Source organism: Homo sapiens, chromosome 6 (assembly GCF_000001405.40).
Source record: "Homo sapiens chromosome 6, GRCh38.p14 Primary Assembly".
Classification (NCBI taxonomy): domain Eukaryota; kingdom Metazoa; phylum Chordata; class Mammalia; order Primates; family Hominidae; genus Homo; species Homo sapiens.
In genome coordinates, this window is record NC_000006.12 from 5,183,035 (window position 1) to 5,203,029 (window position 19,995).

The window sequence follows — 19,995 nt, forward strand, 5'->3', positions numbered from 1 at the left end:
TATTTCATTACTAAAGCTTTTTCTTCCCTTCACCCCACTTTCCTCTCTCCAGGGTTTAGGCTCCATGTGCTACCAAAACTAACCTACAGCCAACGTGTATTTATTTAGAAAGACATTCAGAGATGAGGCCTCTAGCTGGCTAATCTAGAGCTTATGGGGACATGGTTGGAGGAAGAAAGAGAAAATAAAAGTACTGTGTTCTAATTCCACCTTTCCTATGATGCACAAATGAAAGGTTCCCTGTGCTCTATCCCTGCACAACATCCTTCATCTGCTGTGGGAGAAATCATCTTAAATACTTAAATGTAGAATTCTGCAGCTTTCAGTGGCATGCATTTTTTTTTATCCTTAGTCAGTGAAAACAGGTTATAGCATGTAGCATATAAGCAATGCATTAAATGGTAACTGCTATTATTATTATAGCCATAATCATATACAGTATAGCAAAGGTTTCCTATTCAAAAGGAATGAACTTGCACCAATGCAATAAAGTTGGTAAAAAAATTTCTGGAGAATAAGCTTACTACTGAGTAATTCTGCTATGCCTCTACAATCTCCAATTTTGAATTTCACATCAAACCTCAGTTCTCTCTCTATTCCCACACCCCTCTTCTCCCCCTTTAGACCGACAAAATCAAGTGTATGGCACAGAAGTGGTAATTTCTCATCTTTCGGCTGTGCAATTATGTGACTAGAAATAAACAAAATTGGAGAAAAACAGTCTGACAACTAAATAAGAAGGCAAGCCTGAATCTTATTTAATGCTCCACTTGAGCTGTTAAGAATAGTAAGAACCACTGCAGATCTATTGTATAACATGGAGGCTATTAATAATAATGTATTGCATACTTGAAAACTGCTAAGAAAGTGGACCTCGAATGTTCTCACCATAAACAAATGGTAAGTATGTGAAGTAATGGATGTGGTAACTGGATTAAATCATTTCACAATGTACACATCTAACAAAACATCATGTTGCACACCATAAATACATACAATTTTTACTTGTCCATTTTTTTAAAGAGTAAGAACCAAAAGTCATACTTTTTTTTTCTTGTGTATCAAAGCTTTTATACAAGAAACTAAGTGGTAATCTAGTCCATTTTCTTATCTTCAGACTTGCCTGCATTGAAGACAAATTTTTTTCATACATATTCTTAACGATAATGATCCCGAGATGTCCACTTTGTAGGTATTCAAATAAATAAACCCCAACAATCTAAAGCAGGATATAAATGGCGAGTGGCATGGAGTTTCACAAGAAAGGGGTTCAAAATTATAACTGGATAACCTCTCTTCCTTCTTCAAAAGAGCTGTCCCTTTAAGAGAAAAGAAGTTGAAATTTTCTTTTTCCCCATTAGAAGGCAGTAGGTATTAAACATCCTGGTGTCCAAAAGGGACCTATATTAATAAGCACATAGCCATAAGGATTGATTTTGCTTTGTGGAGATGCCGTTAAAACCACAGGAAAACAAAAAGTCTTGCTTATATTTTAAAAAGGGCAATCTTATTAACATTTTAATAAATTAATTTAAGTCATCTGGTACTTAGAAAATGGATCTTGTTCTTCAAAGAAAATAAATGAACAGGATGTAAGCAGCTCATGAGTTCATGCTTTTGTTTTAAGAACAAGTAGACCCTTTTGCTCATATGCCCTGCACTGTAACATCCACTCATTCACCCAGCAAACTCTTGCTGAGCATCTACTGTGGATCAGGTACTGTTCTAGGTTCTGTGCTAAAAAAGACAGTCCCTGATCTCCAGGCACTCTGAGAGGGTGGTAAATGAGCAGACGGTCCTTGCAGATATCAGCAGAGAAAAGAGGGAGCAGTGGAAGAACATATCCTCATCACACCTCTGATTACACTTGGAAGGGCCCCTTCCCCTGCGCAAGCCCAAGCACAGGGTCAGGGTCGCACGAGGTTGCTACCTCTTGCTTTCTCTGCTTCTAGTCACTTATGCACTGAAGTCCCTTCCTTATGCCCTGCTTGTCATTGACGCACTGAAGTCCCTTCCTCCTTGCCCTTTGTCTTCCCCAGCCCCTGTACTTACTTGCTGCATCACAATACGCTCCTACCTAGCTCCTCGAGGGTCGAGTCGCCCCTTGTTACCATGAATCCCAATACCTGGGTGAAAGTCTGGCACAAAGACAAGGATAAATATGTGTCCAATGAATGAATGGGTGAACGAATGAATGAAGATACTTGTCCTTCATTGACTAAACAATGACCAAGCATCTGCCCTGTGCTCATGCTAAGGAAAGACAGAAAGCTGGCTAAGCCAGTGGAAAGAGCACAGGCAGTTAAGACGGCTGGAAAGGACATCTTCCCAGGAGGACATGGCTTGTCTTCTGCTAGAGCATAAGCTTCTGTAGACATACCAACAAATCTTGGGAAGAAATGGGTTTTGGATTCAAATAGCTCTGAGTTGAGATATAAAGGGAATACAAACACACACCTACTTCATCCGAGATGGGCTGCATCAAGTGCACAGTGTAACACCTGACACCAAGTGGGCATTCAATATGGTAAAATCTAATCTAATATCTAGTCTCTGCCTGAGCAACCCCACAGTCCAGGAGGAGAGACAAGCCCATAAGGAGGCTGAGGAATACTAAGTGGCTTGCTCAGGGTCAGCTGGTTAGTGGCAGAGATCTGAACCCAGGCTTGTCCGGTTTCAACACCTGTGCTCTGAACCACCACACTTAAGTGAGATGTCAGGACAGGAGACAGACTTCAGAGTCATCCTTGCAGGAGACAGGTGTGTCATGGCGGTGGATGTGATCACAGGGAAAGAGAGGGACCAATAATGAAAGCTTGGGCAGTGCCTGAGTTTTAGAGGGACAGAGTGGGAGGGCCAGCAGACGAGACTGGGCCAGGGCCAGCAGAAGGGGAGGCAGGAGTGAGGAGGGCTGGGAGAGCCTCCTGGAGTGGCCAGCCAGAATGGTCAGACGCTTTGGACAGGTCAAACTGGACAAAGGCACGCACATGTTTTTGGCATGCCTGGAACCCTGGGTATCTGTGCAGGAGCTGGTTCAGCGCAGCATGGGGGGTTACTGCTTGGATGCCAGGGGGTTGAGGTGTTAAGGGGAGGCAGTGAAGCTTATGAGTGCAAATGACCCTGCAGATAGAGGAGAAGGGGAAAGAGCTGGGCAGAAGCATGACTTGAAAGCCCGGAAGCCAAAGGCTTCTTTCTGGACTGGGGAGATGCTATGTGGAGAGGAAGAAGGGGAGGTTTAGGAGAGCAGACAGCTGAAGGAGCAGGCTTACTAGCATCACAGAGGAAAACGTGGTAACTCGGAGCAAAGCAGACCAGTCACTTCAGCAAAAGGATGGATGTTTCCTTTGGAAGCAAAATGCAGGGAATTGAGGGTGTTCTGGCCTTGCGTTCTGGTGTGTTGGACTAAGACAAAAATGTCTCCTTATTCCATAAATGATACTAGGACAGGAGAAAGTTATCATTTTGGAGAAGGTTAAACTGAACTCCCATCTCCTTTCTTATACCAAAATAAATTCAAATTACTTCAAAAACTAAACATTTAAAAAATCTACAAAAGCACCAGAAGGAAATGCAAGAGAATTTTTATTGTCTTGGAGTGGGAATTCAGCATGACACAAAATTCAAAGACAATGAAGTGAAATGTAACTACATAAAAATTATAATTGTCTGCCGGGCACAGTGGTTCACACCTGTAATCCCAGCACTTTGGGAGGCTGAGGCAGGTGGATCACTTGAGGTCAGGACTTCGAGACCAGCCTGACTAATACAGTGAAATCACATCTCTACTAAGAATACAAAAATTAGCCAGGCGTGGTGGCGTGCGCCTATAATCCCAGCTACTCGGGAGGCTGAGGCAGGAGAATTGCTTGAACCAGGGAGGCAGAGGTTGTAGTGAGCTGAGATCGTTCCAATGCACTCCAGCCTGGGCGACAGAGTGAGAGTCCATCTTAAAAAAAAAAAAAAATTGTCTATAAAAGAATAGTAAATGGGGCCCCAAAATAAATGACAAACGAGGAACTGTATTTGTAACAAATCTAAGAAACAATAGAATGGTGAATGAATAATATAGAAAAGAAATGCACATGCTAATAGCACAAAATATTCTTAACATGACCCCTAACAGAGGCGATACTACCTTTCATGTTCTGTGTTGATAAAGGTGAAAATATGTGATCTTCTCAGGGCTGAAGAATCAGGGTGAAGACAGGGTGGCTGGGACAGTAAGTCGTTCAGTCCACATTTTAAATGTTCATACCCAGTGACTCAGCCCTCCTACCTCAAGGCCTTGTCCTTCACAAAGACACACATATCAGCTTGTTCACTACAGCACTGCTCATAATGGCAAAAAGCTGAAATCAATGTAAACGTCCATCATTAAGTGGCTAATTAGATAGATTACAGCATGTCCACACTGTGGAGTATTTGACCATTAAAAATAAAAGACAGTTCTCAGCAAACTATCACAATGACAGAAAACCAAACACCGCATGTTCTTACTCACAGGTGGGAACTGAACAATGAGAACACCTGGACACAGGGCAGGGGAACATCACACCCCGGGGCCTGTCGGGGGGTTGGGGGCTGGGGGAGGGATAGCATTAGGAGAAATACCCAATGTAAATGATGAGTTGATGGGTGCAGCAAACCAACACAGCACATGTATACCTATGTATCAAACCTGCACGTTGTGCACATGTACCCTAGAACTTAAAGTACAATAAAAATAAATAAATAAAAATAAAAGACAGGTTTTTATGTTCCAATATGGAATTATGTACAATATATATTGTGTTAGTGGAAAAAAAAAGAAGCTGTAAGGGAGTATTTATGGTATAATCTCATTTGTGTTAAACCAACAAAAAAGGGTACACACTCACACAATCTCTCTAAATGCACGGGAAATTTCTGGAAGGCTACATAAGAATCTTTATGTGGGAAGTGAGATTTTGCAGTCAGAAGAAAGGGAGAGGAGAAAAACTTTCCTGTTGCCTTTGAAGTTTTTTGTCTAAATTTCTAATCTTTAGAATGCATTGGCCACGCATGGTGGCTCACACCTGTAATCCCAACACTTTGGGAGGCTGAGGTGGGAGGACTACTTGAGGCCCAGGAGTTTGAGACCAGCCTGCGAAACATGATGAAACCCCATGTCTACCAAAAACAAACAAATGAACAAAGAAACAAACAAAAATTAGCTGGGAGTGGTGGCATGTGCCTATGGCATGAGGTGCCAGCTACTTAGGAGGCTGAGGTGGGAGGATCGCTTGAGCACCAGAAGTGCCATGAGATCACACCACTGCACTCCAGCCTAGGTGACAGAGCAAGACTCACTCTCAAAAGAAAAAAAAAAGAGAGAGAATGCATTATTTTGATTAAAAAATGGTAAGTAAACACAAATTTCAGAAAGATTAAGTTACCTAAGTTGTAAATCAAGGGAGGATAAAAGAAGGGGATTATTGGTTGTGTTTTTGTTCCTCTTATTTTTAACAAATACTAACAGTGATCATAATAATCATATCAAGTACTGATTAAGAGCTTCGGATCTTAGTCTGAGTGATCTGGGTGTGAAACTTGGCTCCTTTACTTACTAGTGAGTGACAATGGGTAAGTTAACCTCTCTAAACTTGTTTCCTCATCTTATAGTACTATTGGAGGATTAAATGAGACAGTGCATTAAACATTTTGTGTAGAGCTTGGTACACAGTAAGAACTTAATAAACATGACCTACTATTATGATGATATATTTTCTGAGACAGTGTCTTGTCCTGTCACCCAGGCTGGAGTGCAGTGGCGCAATCATGGCTCACTGCAGCCTTGACCTTTGGGGCTCAAGGAATCCTCTCACCTCAGCCTCGCAAGTAGCTGGGACTACATGTGCATGTCACCATGCTAATTTTTATATTTTTTTGTAGAGACAGGGGTTTCACCATGTTGCCCAGGCTGGTCTCAAACTCCTGGGCTCAAGCGATCTGCTTGTCTCAGCCTCCCAAAGTGCTGTGATTACAGCTGTGAGCCACTGCATGTGGCTCCCACGGTGCCTGACCCAACTATCAATATTAATAGGACCCCTTGTCTTGCTGTTTTCCCGTACTGTATTACATACAATTGTTATTAATATTTGCCTCTTGCTAACATCTTGTTTTTAGATTATAAAACACTATTATCGTATCTCAATTTCACAACAGCCCCAGTTTTATTTGTTTTGGAGAAATTAAGTGCTTAGCCTAAGGTTAGTGGTTAGCCTAAGGTTAGTGCTTAGCCTAAGGTTAGTGGTGAGCCTAAGGTTAGTGCTTAGCCTAAGGTTAGTGGTTAGCCTAAGGTTAGTGCTTAGCCTAAGGTTAGTGGTGAGCCTAAGGTTAGTGCTTAGCCTAAGGTTAGTGGTGAGCCTAAGGTTAGTGGTGAGCCTAAGGTTAGTGCTTAGCCTAGGATTTGAAAGCAGATCTGTGACTTCAAGAGTTTACGCTGCTCTAGCACCGCTGTCTGAAGGCCAGTAAGCCACTAGTCCTGGTGCTCTGACATGCATTTCGGGTGACTGAAATTCCAGCCGCAAGGCACCATGAAGCTCTACATTATTCCACATGGTGCCTAAGACAGGAAAATTAAGAGCTACTAATAACTCCATTTTGTCGATGAGCATGACTTTAAGAGCTTTTAAATTTGTCTACGATGCTAGCCATGAGAGTGAGAAGAGTTCAAAAAGCAAAAAAGTAAAACACACAAAGGTGGCTAAATCACCTGTCTAAAAAAATCAGTACATGCTTCACCTAATCTATGAATCGAATCACTGTTCTCCCCAATCCAGGGTTTTCCCTGTAGTACTACTGTGTTCAAGAAATCTTTATATAACAGAGGTTGATCTGACACAAAGAATTGTTTTCCTGGTCTAGAAAAGTAGGCTGATACTGTTGTCTCCATTTAATAGATAGAACAAAAAGAATTTATCTAATTTTCCCAAGTCCTTTAGTGATTTAATGACAGAACCAGATTTGAGTTCAGAGACTCCTGCTTTCTAATTTGCCTCAAACACCGCACAAAGGGATTATTTCCTCCTCACTTTAATTTTTTCCTAGGATTTTCTTGGAATCAGTTCTGAGTTGATTTTGGAATAATAAAGTATTATGCTAAGTACACAGAGTAGATACTACTGGAGTCTCAGTAAATTCCTTAATAGACTCAAAGCATTTGATTTCCTTGAGGCTTTTTTTTTTAATTTAAAAACCAATTTGGCTCAAACTGAGAATGCTCAACATTTTTAAGTAGCAGTGACTTCTAAATGCTCTCCTGATATATAGATAGATGGATGGATGTATTTTAGCACAATGTAACTCTGCTTAGGAAAAAGCCCATTTAGAAAAAAATTCACTTGGTATTCTGTAGTAACACCGTATCTGTTCTAATAGGCTCTGGCATTAAATATTCAATTAAATGATATTTATTTAATTAAAATCATTTCCCCGTAATATACACAGGAGGGACACACACATGCAGGCATGCAGAGCGTGATAACTTGACTATCTCTCATGTGACTGAAAACACTGAATTCCAAAAACCAGTCATGTGCCACAAAATAACAGATCCCATATATGACAGCAGTCCCATGAAATTACAATGGAGCTGAAAAATTCCTATCATCTAGTAACTCTGCCGTTGTTAACACCATTGTGCAATGCATTACTCATGTGTTGTCATAAGGCTGATGTTAAATCTAGTGTCTGCAACTGTGGAATGCTGGGGTCAGAGAAAGCCTGAGAGAATTTCTTAGATAATACAATCTTGGGAATTTTCAGATTTCAGTTTTACAAACTAAAGTTTCTGAACCTGAGCCCGTGGCTTCAGGAACTTCCAGATATGTTATGCAAAACTTTGTCTCTGTGTTTATACATACCTATTTCTGGGGAAAGGGTGAAAAGTTTTTATCAGCTAAAGGCATTGTATTAAAAACTTGCCTCATGTGCCTTAAGAGCATAAGAGCATATACATTATTTGATCTAGTTATTTTAATAAGAATTTTTCCTAAGAGAAAATCACGGATGTACATGAAGATATTTATGGCAACACTGTAATAGAAAAAAAAATTAGGGACCAAGTAAATATTCAACATTTGGGGGAAACAATAAACAAATGATAAGCTATACAATGAAATACTGGAAGCTATTAAAACAACATGAGTCAAGAGAGAATGGGGTCACATGAGAAAAGTTCACGATGCATTTGGTAAAAAGAGGTTACGATCCCCAAAAGACTAGAAACAGAACATAGGTCTCCATTTTTGTCCATGTCAGCGGTCCAGGCAGGGTGGATGATTGTCACAGGCAGCTCAGGGAAGCAATCTGAAGTCCTTTTGATGCCAGACTGACCCCATGTCTCTGAGTGGAAATAAGAGCTACGCGCCATTCTGAGAAGTATATGACTCAAAGATAAGGCCTGAAAATGTGTTGTGAGAGAGTATTTTCACTGTCTTGAGCTAAGGTCATGAGTTTGTGAAACTAGGAATGAGAACTGAGATAGATTAGTGACAAATTTACCTGTCTGTAATTTAGGACTTACTCTCATTAAAACGGGCCCTAGTGTGTTATTAAGAAGACAACTTGGTGATCAGAGAATTAGAAAAATCACCATATTGCAACCACTAATGTAACAACTGATTCAGGCAAGGCACATTAATGGGTCTGAAAACCACTGAGTGAAAGGTTGTTGGGGAACAGATTTATTAATTACAAAGAAAAACAGTATGTTTACAGTGTAAACATCTGGTCAATTCTACTCTAACAAATGATCAAACTCAGCATGAACCAATAATTGTACAATTGACATTATGGGCCTCCTGATGTGGTGCACTGAGAAGAATGCCATATTACTTACGTAGTTTTCCTGCCAAAAGTGCTTATTATGAATGTAACCTTAGAGAAACAATCCGACAGATTAAGACTGGAGAACATTCTGGACTCAATACATCAATGTCATAAAAGTTAAAAAAAATGCAGGAGAGCTAATGCATGCAATGCTTGATGCTTGCATGGATTCTGGATTAAAAAAGTTATAAAAGATATTATAGGACAATGGAGGAAATCTGAAAACGAAGAGTACATCAGAAAAGGCAGTGGGCTTATAATCCACCTTTTCAGCAATATAAAGTTTGTGTTTCCTCTGCTGAGCATCCTGGGGCTGTTCCCCACAGGACTTTGTGAATGACATTTAAAGTGCTGCTACTTCTGACTGAAGATGGCCTGGGGTAGGGTGGTGGAGGGACCCTGTGTGGGTAGAGAACGGCTGGGGGCAAGGCAGGAGGCCAGTACATAATGTCCTCGCCTGGAGAGCAGGAAGAGGACAGCACACACTGCAGGAGCTGTGTTAATACGCTTCCTGAATGTGCTCTGAGGAAGCACCCCTCCCCTTACTCAGTCCCCCCAAAGAGACATGTAGTAAGGCTCTGTCAGGAAAAATTGACTTTTTTTAATTTAACGAAAACTGTTCTGAGGTCCTAATCACTACCATAGCATTGGGACAGTTAGGCCTTTGAGTCCCCCACTGTGCTCATTAGCACAGGACAGAATGCCTGTGAGGGGCACCATCCACAGGGGACTGCACCTCTATGGGGCTGTTGCTGCTGTCCTCTTCCATGATGAGATCTAACTTCTGAATCTGCGCATGGTTAAAAGGCACCAAATCCACAACAGGCTGTGTATTCCGTTGTATCCAAAGCACATTTAGGGCCTGGCGCGGTGGCCCGCGCCTGTAATCCCAGGACTTTGGGAGGCCGAGGCGGGCGGATCACCTGAAGTCAGGAGTTTGAGACCAGCTGGGCCAACATGGCAAAACCCCATCTCTACTAAAAATACAAAAATTAGCCAGGCTTGGTGGTGCATGCCTGTAATCCCAGCTACTCGGGAGGCTGAGGCAGGAGAATGGCTTGAACCCAGGAGGCAGATTGTAGTGAGCCAAGATCACGCCACTGTACTCCAGCCTGGGTGACAGTGTGAGGCTCTGTCTCAAAAACAAAAAACAAAGTGCATTTGGGCCTAAGAGCTTACTCTTGGATTTCAGTTCAGTAGGCAGAGGTAATAGGCACACAGCCCTACAGGACAAGGCCTCAAAATGCAAGATTCCTTAAACAAGAAGAGAGGGCTGACATGACAAACAACAAAAGTAACAACAAGGAAACAACCCTTGGGGTTACAGGGCTTTCTTCTCCTATGAGTGAAGAAATAGAAGTAACTGTAAGCTCTATTTTTAGCACCTCTATGTACTATATGTGATTTAAAAAAAAACCAGAAAACAAAAAAAAAACGCCTTAGCTTTGTTAAGAGCAGTATTTCTGAAGACCATTTCAAATTGTAGCTTGCTAGTCATCCAGTTGAAGAAACATGTAATAGAAGGCAGGGTTCTTTCTGACTCTTCCCAAAGCATCTAATAATCCTCAGATAGAGCAGTGAAGGATGGCCAGAAATTTCATACTCAGCTGAGGGATTCTGTGTGTTGTGTTTCTGTCTTCCTGTTTTGGTCTTTGAAAATGAGGCAGCAGGGAATCTTGGAGAAGTCAGAGGGAGAGTAAAGCAGACTGTCCTAGTTAATCAGAAGTGCTAAAAGGGCAAACTAAAGCTGTTCTCTAATTAACCAACAATCTAAGTTATCAAGAGACCATGTTGATGGCTGAGACAGATGAACAGCCAAAGAAAGCAGGCCAGAGATCCTGACAACCTTCCTAGGCTGAAACTGAGAATCCATCAGTAAAAACCCTTGGAAAGCATGACGCAGCCAGGACTGACAGTGACTTAGAAAGGAGCATACTATGGATATGATTTGGTTAGGAATTAAGAGAAACTCAGAAAAAGGACATATAGTACCTAGGTACTTAAAATTTCCCAAATTTTAATAAAACGGATGATCAAAATTAATGGTTCATGCTTAATTTCAGCTGCTTTAAAAGAAATATATGATTGTTAAAAAGGCACGTTATGTAGGCCAGGTCTGATTTCAAAGGTTTAGATCTTGTATTAGGCAGGGTTCTCCAGAGAAACAGAACCAACAGGGTGTGTGTGGGGGGGTGGGGGGTGGGGGAAGAGAATGAGAAAGAGAGAGACAGAGGACAAACATGGAGACTACCCTCCAAATTAAAGTTTGCCACTAATTAACAGTCAGCTTCATACGCTCCATTTGGGGATTAGAAAAGATACGTTACCTCTTCTTATAAACTGAAAGCTCCTGAAGGTTTGGCCAACTGTAGTTTCCTAATAAATCTTGTTGAAGGATACATATTTGAAGGGTGCTGTCTTTGGGTAAGAGCAGAGGGTGGCACTAGTAAGAACAAATGGCCACAGTCCCTCCCAGCATCCCCTGTGACCCGTGTGAACAGGCATACCCTGGTGTGCGGCTGGTAATGAGCACCAGCTTTACTGTTCCTAAGTCTGTAATTTCTCTTCTCTGGCAAAATGATGAGGTACAACCAGAACTGGGCATACCTTCTGAAATGCTTAGTTCCCTCTTCTTCGAGGTGGGACATAAGACCTACCTCATGGGCTAGTAGGAGGGTTAAATGCAATAGCATTGTTAAGTCCTATAAAAACATCAAGTATTTCATGATTCTTTTTTAAGCTCTCCAGTAGAAGTGAAAGCGTCTTTGGAAAAATACTACCTTTGAAAATTATCCATAAATGGCTAAATCAGAAAATTAGGAAAATATAGAAACACTGTGAATTTTATTTTATTTTATGGGTAGGGTCTCACTCTGTTGTCCAGGCTGGAGTGCAGTGGCACGATCATAGCTCACTGCAGCCTCAAACTCCTGGGCTCAAGTGATCCTCCCACCTCAGCCTCCTGGGTAGCTGGGACTCCAGGTGTGAGCCACTGCACCCAGCTATGGAAACACCATTTCATTACTATAATAGCTTCTGGCTTTACAGAATTCAGGTATTTTGGTAAAACCTACAGTGGTAGACTTTAAACTTTTAAAACTGTTTACGTCATTAGCAAGAAACTGTTACACATAAAGGCTTGATGTACATACATTTATTTAAAAATTATGCATATGTGTTCCTGTACCACTAAATTGTGCTTATTAAAATACACACAATAGACAAATGAAAATTCTAAGTAGAAGTCCTACCTTTCATTCTTGCAGCTCACAGGACGGCCCTGCAAAATCTTGAAGTTTACTCACCTCACCCTAGAGACCTGGAGGGTGCCAGGTAGTTTTAAAGTAAAGCAATGTACATATTGATGTTATTATCATTGGTTGCATTTAATTAACCTTCCCTTGCAGAGGGATGTTAAGGACATTACAAAACCCCACAGTATCAGGCCGGGTATGGTGGCTCACGCCTATAATCTCAGCACTTTGGGAGGCTGAGGCAGGTGATCACTTGAGGTCAGGAGTTTGAGACCAGCCTGGCCAACATGGTGAAACCCCATCTCTACAAAAAAAAAAGAAACAAAAACAAAAAAAACCCCGACAATTAGCTTGCCATGGTGGCATGCGCCTGTAGTCCCAGCTACTCAGGAGGCTGAGGCAGGAGAATCTCTTGAACCTGGGAGGCAGAGGTTGCAGTGAGCTGAGATAGCGCCACTGCACTCCAACCTGGGTGACAAAGTGAGAGACCCTGTCTCATCAAAACAAAACAAAACAAAGAACCCCCACAGTATGAAGCCCTTCTCACAAGGACCTCAGTGTCTGCTTGGGCATCTTCAATGACAGGAAAAGGGTGGGGTCACGGTCTCAGAAATGGCTCCTTCAGGTGCTCAACAGCTATTCACCTGAGGCACATAGCAATTCCCTTTCTAACACAGATTGTAAGCTGCATGAGGGCAGGGGCAGGTACTATATCTGTCTTATCTATCACTGTATCCCCAGAATTAATGAATAAATATTGAATGATTTCTTAGAAAAAAACTTCCTCACACCAACTGAAAGTCTGGCTTTATAACAAAGCAACAGCAAACCCTTATATTGCACTTAGTATGCCCCAAGCATCATCATAAGCTCTTGTCACGTATTAGTTTGTGAATCCTCCTAATGACCCCGTGAGTGAGGTGCTCCCACATTCCCATCTCAGAGCTGAGGAAACTGGGACAGAGAGTGGTAAGAGTCACTCAAGGACGCTGGGGCAACGTGGCTCCGACCCCGCAGCACTGCCTCTGCCCAGGGCAGTGGACTCCCTCTGCCTTTCCAGTCCCCATCATCTGGCGCAGATATCATGTCTAACTCTCCCTCATGTGACTGTCTTGCAGGTACAGGAGTGCAGGTCCTGGAGCCTTCACAACCATTGCTTTTCCAAGCCCAACACCCTACTGCCTCTACCTGCTTTAACAGATGATGGAGACTCATGCCTTCTAATATCCAGGCCTCATCCTCCTTTGGGTTTAAGCTTGTCCCTAAGAGGTCAAGAGTCCAAACATGGACTCAGACGGCCCTGAGTTGAGTTCCAGCTCTGCAAAAGCAGTTTGACTCTGGGCAAGTAACTGCAGCTCACGAAGCTTCCTCACAGTTTCCTCTTCTGAAAAGCAGGTTGGTACAGTGCCTTCCTCCTAAGAGTGCTCACTGTCCGACCATCCAGATGCCTCTCCTCAGAGGAGCTGGGCACAGCACACCACTATCAGGGGAAACATATTTGCATTAATCTAGATGATGATGCCAAACTTTATGGGAATGAATTGTATCAGCTTGGGAAATAGCTTTTTTCTATTTCCATTGGAATGATTTGGTTCTTTAACATAACTGTATATGGTGACAGTGACTCAATTCTTTTGTCTCTTGCTGTACAGCTCCTCCTTTCTCACAGGAAAAAATTCTGATAAAAACAATTTATAATACATCAAAATATTGACAGGAATGTTAAGCTGTAACCTCTGAAGCTATCTGTGGGCATGATTTATTATAGAAGTTCCACTGTGACAACTCGGCAATTAGGAAATATTGATAAATGCAAACACATTATTGATGTCAATTAAAAACGCACAAGATTGATGAGCCTCCCCAAGTGCTTTGACACGAGCAGTTAGAGAGTAATGCTCATCAATACACATCTAACCACTGTAACTGTGCAGAGAAATTAGGCTGCCAGGAAACAAAGGGTGCTTCCACATTCAAGTGAGATTACTGAAACAGATGAGCATCTAGTCAACAGGAATATCTAACAGAACCTCAAACCAAGTCCTTTGGAAAAAACATAGGTGCTTACTGGTGATTCATGATAAGGTAGGCAAGGAAGGTCTTCAAGAGGATTCAAGACTATGACACACTGAGTTGGTTGAAGGGGGGGGCCAAGTGCCTGAGTTGGCTGTGCCTGATTATATAAGTCTAGAGCATATGCCAAGCCAGAACCTCAAGAAAAAGGGTAATATCTTAGAATAGATTTTAATATTTGGCCGGGCACGGTGGCTCATGCCTGTAATCCCAGCGCTTTGGGAGGCCGAGGCCTGTGGATCACGAGGTCAGGAGTTCAAGACCAGCCTGGCCAAGATGGTGAAACCCCGTCTCTACTGAAAATACAAAAAAAATTAGCTGGGCATGGTGGCGGGTGCCTGTAATCCCAGCTACTCCGGAGGCTGAGGCAGAGAACTGCTTGAACCTGGGAGGCAGAGGTTGCAGTGAGCCGAGATCATGCCACTGCACTCCAACTTGGGTGACAGAGTGAGACGCTGCCTCAAAAAAAATAAATAAATAAAATAAAAGAATATATTTTAATATTCACAGGGATCTTCTATTTTGGAGGACCTGAGCAAAGTCCCGAATTTATTTCAAATAGATAACCTAATCAAGGTCACATTTCCTATGTGTAGGCAAGAGGGAGGATTTGAGCCTCAGTTACTGAGAAATGGAGGAACTGGGAAGGTAAATTAGTTTAAGAGAAAGGGAAGGCAGCGCCGGGTGCGGTGGCTCACGCCTGTAATCCAGCACTTTGGGAGGCTGAGGTGGGCGGATCACCTGAGGTCAGGAGTGCAAGACCAGCCTGACCAACATGGTGAAACCCCATCCCTACTAAAATACAAAACAAAAACAAAAACAAAACAAAACAAAAAAACAGCTGGGTGTAGTGGCAGGTGCCTGTAATCTCAGCTACTTAGGAGGCTGAGGCAGGAGAATCGCTTGAACCCAGAAGGCGGAGGTTACAGTGAACCGAGATTGCACCACTGCACTCCAGCCTGGGCAACAAGAGTGAGACTCCGTCTCAAAGAAAAAAAAGAAAAGAGAAAGGGAGGGCAACTAACTGAGTTTTGGACATCACGGCTTTCAAGTACTCATAAAACACCCAAGTGCAAATATCTACTTGTCACAGAGGCCTATATTTTGCATGAAAAAAGAAGACTAAAGATGAAGTTTCAAAGGATAAGCAGCATCAGGTTTGTCAAGAAGAATCAGGCTAACAAAAGTCTGGCTGGCTTAGCACTAAGAAGGTCTGTGTTTTTGATGTTAAAAAAATCAACCTCCACCTACTGTGTGAAAGGACTCTATGAGGTACCACAAAAGGCAAGGCACATTACTCTTGTCCATCTGGAGGTCATTCTCTTCCACTGCAGCTCAGGGAGGGCCACAGGGAGCAGTGAGAGACAGGATTCTTACCCAGAGCTCCAGATGCTCTGAATTAGCCCCTGGCTATCTAAACCTCATTGCCCAGTAATACCCATCTCTTACAAGCACTGTAAAGTCAGCAAAGGGCTAACCTGGTTCTCAATCCACAGAGAATTGAGTTTAGATACAGAGGACTGGCCTAAGGTCCATGTCCATCCCCGCCTCCCTGCTGTCTTAACCTTCCTTAAAGGGTAACTAGGTCAACGTTAGCCTTCTAATCTAGATCTGGTTGTTTCATGTATAAAAGGTATATCTTACACCACTCATACCCACTAGGATGGCTATAATCAAAACGACAGAAAAAAACAAGTGTTTACAAGAATGGGGCAAAATTAGAACCCTTATACCTTGCTGGTGGTAATAATGCACAATGGTTCAGCCACTTTGGAAAAAGACTAGGTAATTCCTCAAAAAGTTCAAACAGAGTCACCATATGACCCAGCCATTCCACTTCTAAGTATATATACAAGAGGAATGAAAACATATGGCCACACAAAAACTGGCATATGAATGTTCATAGCAACATCATTCACAAGAGCAAAAAGTGGGGATGACCCAAATGTTCATCTACAAATGAATGGATAAAATGTAGTATATCCATATAATGGAAGACTATTTGGCATTAAAAAGGAAGGAAGTACTCTCTTATGCTACAACATGGATGAACCTTGCAAACATTACGCTAAGTGAAAGAGGCCAGTCGTGAATATAAATTTCATCCACAGAGATAGAAAGTAGACTGATGATTGGCTAGGGCTAGGGAAGAGTGGGTTGGGGGAAAATGGGGAGTCACAGCTATAGGTATGGGGTTTCTTTCTGCGGTGATGAAAATGTTCTAAAATTGATCATGGTGATGGTTGTGCAACTTTGAATATACTAAAAACCACTGACTTGTATACTTCAAATGGGTGAATTTTGTGGTATGTGAATCACATCTCAATAAAGCTGTTACACATGCTTTTGTGAAATCTACACAATATTGCAGGGAAGAACAGTCACTACCAGACTGAAACTGTCACAGAGATTTCCATCAACAGGCTGAACCTTGAATGGCCCTGAAGTTGAGAAAAATCTCAATTTTTCTCAAATTGCCAGGAATTGCCAGGCAATTGCCTGAAAAAAGTTGGTGTTCTGGTCTGGCCAACCCATCCCAATTTAAGCTGTGCCATCCAGTTCCTTTGGATGCTAGGACATTTGGCCCAGGGTATTAGCATTTGTCACTGGGTCAGCTCCCAACAGCCATTGCCTTGTTTTGCTTCTACAGGTCTCCTTGCTGCCCCCAAGGTGCTATAAGAGAGTTGATACTGAGAACAAGTTGTGCAGCTGAGGGCTGCAACACAGTTTCAAAACAGACTGGTCTAGAGCATATTCATAACAACAATCCTGAAGGGCTGAAAAAATTTTACATATGTCTTTCTTGGTATATAGGTATATTAATCTTTTCTTCCCACAAATTCCCCCTGAAAGGAGAGAAGGTGTATGACTTTCTTAATAACTGTAGATGTACTTGGAATCCTGCTTGGGAAAATGCCTGCTATAAATATATAGGACACTGTGGATATTCTCATTGCCAGGGTTTACATGATAAGCGTGTCTCCAGAAGTGCAGGATGGATCAGCCACAATTTGTATGGGTAGCAAACCCTTAGCTGCACTAGAAAAATGCCTCCCAAAGAATGTTAAATAACATCTCCCTCAGATGAGGACTCCACTCTCGAGGACATGTCTCTGGTATTCTTTTGGCTCTAAGCCCTGTTATTCTACTTGGTTGTTAAGGATATTGTCTTGTGATATCAGCTCGAACCCCAAAGAGCCTCCTCAGGAGCATGCACTCTACTCCACCGGGTGGAAGCACATGAAATTTTCAGTTGCAGTAAAATTTTCATTGTTTAATTTAAAATAAAACTTCTAAACAGAGTCTGAAAGTCGGTAAAAGTGCAACAGAATAAAAATAATCACGAGAGCAAAGATTGAATTTAGAGAGATCCAGAGATCAGGGAAAGTCATCACAAAAACCAAAGACAGCTTGCCCGGAGACTAGCCTTGTGGAGAACATGCACTCTGCAGGGCTCACAGGTGGAGTAGACCAGGACAAGGCCCCTCTCTAGTTCATTGTAAGCCACTGGTTCGCAACTGTGGCTGCACACTGTCATCACTTCGGGATACTGATGCCTGACTCCCACACTCAGAGATTCAAATTCAACTGGTCTGGAGTAGACTGGTCTGTACAAGCACTGTAGGTGGTTCTGACGTACAGTCAGGGCTGATAACCACTGGTATAAGGTAAAAGTCCCGTCTTTGAAGATACCCTCAGAGCCAGAAAGCCTTTTGTTCACCCAGTAATACCGTGTAAAACAGAAAGTTGAATGAAATTCCAAGTGTACTGTAATGTATAAGAACAAAATATTTTAAAATTAAGATTAATTTTTCATTTTTTGTGGGGGAGTGAATCATGGTTGTTTTGAGATTGGTTATGGTTTTTCTTTCCAAATATTACAAGTGCTTAGATAATGGAAAACTCCAGCTGTGAAGGGTTTAAAGTATCTGAGGAGAGTAATTTAGAGTGCAACATGGGTATCTGATATGGAATGTATCAGTCTTCCTTTAGTTTTCTTTTGCCATCAAAAGAAAAATTCCTTTAGTTTTCTTGTCCCCATCAAGGATGGGGACAAGTGATCAGGCAAACCTTGGCACTGCTTGCTAGTCCTGGCAGTGCAAGTGCACGGGCAGGCTCAAATGCTCTTCCCTGTCTAGCCAAGAATTTCAGATCCCTGAGAGTGGCCTGGAAACATACCAATGCATCAAATCATCATCAACTGGCAAGGGGTAAAGGGGTTGACAAGCTCATGCCACAAACTGTCTTACTTTTCTTTGGGTGAATCAGTTCACCGAGCTGGCTAAATCCTCTTTTCAGCCTTCTGCGCTCAGCTCTGGGGCTGCCCTGCTGGGTCACCTGCTTAGCTAATCTGTTTGTTGCTCCAGAGGGAACCATCTGTCTTTCCAAACCTGCTGGCAGTGACCCCCTGCACCTCATTTCTCTCTGTGCGCTCCTGAAGATCCAGGGCACCAAGACGGGGCAGTCAGGAATCACGGGGCTGTGGGTGCCTTCCCCAGAGAGGCACTCTGACTTTCAGCAAGTCACTGGCTCTCAGTTGGAAGGGGTTAGCCAAGGCTACGAAAGTATATCTACCTAAAATTTTAATAAAATTCATTCTATTAAAATGCAATTAAAGGATCCTATTGGGAGGCAGCATGATATGGTGATGGAGACCTCAGCTCAAATCCTGGCATCAACCATTACTGGCTGCGGAGTCTTAAGCTCCTTAACCTCTCTGAGCTCATTTCTTAACTTCTCTGAGCCTCAGTTTCCTCATCTGCAAAATAAGGAGGCCCTGCAGGGTCATCCTCTTTCATGAAATGATCCATGCCTGCGGCACCTGGTATATAAAACATAAATGAAAAGTTAACTGCTTCAGCCTCCATAATCAGTGAATAACCATGACCAAAACTTGTTTTTGCAGGTGCTCAATTAACTGAATTACACTTTGCAATTCTAAATTTTTATAATGAATTTGTGTAAACAAAGTGCCCTGACAAGAACATTACTATATATGATCTTTCTGTATTTTCAGCATGTCTGAATTCACATACATAGAATTCTCCCACAGGTAAAGGTGAGTAAATTGCATTGTGTGAAGGGTTTGTGTGTCTACAATACCTGTATTCCATGGAAGTCCAGAGACAAACTGACAGGCAGAGGGGCCTGGCTCATTGTGCAGTATGTGGTTCCTGGACTTGCCTTTGATGTTCCAACTTCCAGGGGCAGCCTGATTTCCCAATGTCCAACCTCCTTACATACAAACAGGAGGAATATGAACTTTCTATGCCATCCCAAGAGGCTGCAAAAGGATGATGTGGGCACTGGATGGACCATGTGGCCTAACTCAGCAAAGGGCCTTCTGTTCAGATGTTTGGGCAAGAAGTACTTGTTCCAACAGGCCTTTCCAAAGTGGTTTTTGGCCACCCCACCCACCTTATTTCTCCCTAGTTCTCCCAAGAAAAGATGAATAGCCTGCCATAAGTTCGTATGTATGTCAGGGCTGCCAACTGCCTCCAAAGACAGGGCTGTTATAATTAGTTACAGCTCTAATTATTGTTCCAGGATATGGCTAAAATTTTGTTGGCTTAGACTTTTTGCTTTTTTCATAAGGGTATTCCATAAATACAGTGAATGACACAAGCTACTATGAAGGAATTCAAGTTTGTGGAATCTAGTCCTTTATAATTATAGCATATAATTCATTTGGCAGCATTTTCTAACCATTATCAGTGTGTAGGGCACTGTGATAAGTGTGAGACAGAGAGGACAGCCCTAGTCTCCAAGGAGAGAACGACATACAACACTAATAAACCAAAAAGTCACATAAGCAACT

General features: G+C 42.3%; 1 protein-coding gene and 1 long non-coding RNA gene across 11 annotated transcripts in view, besides 1 other annotated feature; one reads left to right on the plus strand and one right to left on the minus strand.

The window, feature by feature from the left end:
* LYRM4-AS1 (LYRM4 antisense RNA 1) overlaps nucleotides 1–19,995 on the plus strand; it is a 236,681-nt gene that overhangs the window by 179,219 nt on the left and 37,467 nt on the right. The gene's annotated exons all lie outside the window — the stretch shown is intronic.
* The window catches only part of LYRM4 (LYR motif containing 4), a 229,198-nt gene that overhangs the window by 151,282 nt on the left and 57,921 nt on the right, over nucleotides 1–19,995 (minus strand). The window contains exon 3 of one of the 10 annotated variants that reach the window (NM_001164840.3): nucleotides 3,566–3,946. The exons of the other annotated variants lie outside the window; for them this stretch is intronic. Within the exon in view, the coding sequence (NP_001158312.1) occupies nucleotides 3,761–3,946 (186 nt within the window). The 3' untranslated portion in view covers nucleotides 3,566–3,760. Of the gene's footprint in view, nucleotides 1–3,565; nucleotides 3,947–19,995 lie in introns of those variants that run through there. 10 annotated transcript variants of the gene reach the window in all.
* Nucleotides 9,749–10,256: an enhancer, noted in NCBI's record as "H3K4me1 hESC enhancer chr6:5193017-5193524 (GRCh37/hg19 assembly coordinates)". NCBI's record gives its function as "activates a minimal SCP1, AML or CMV promoter by ChIP-STARR-seq in primed H9 embryonic stem cells {active_cell/tissue: H9 hESC(primed)}" and the evidence as "EXISTENCE:reporter gene assay evidence [ECO:0000049][PMID:30033119]".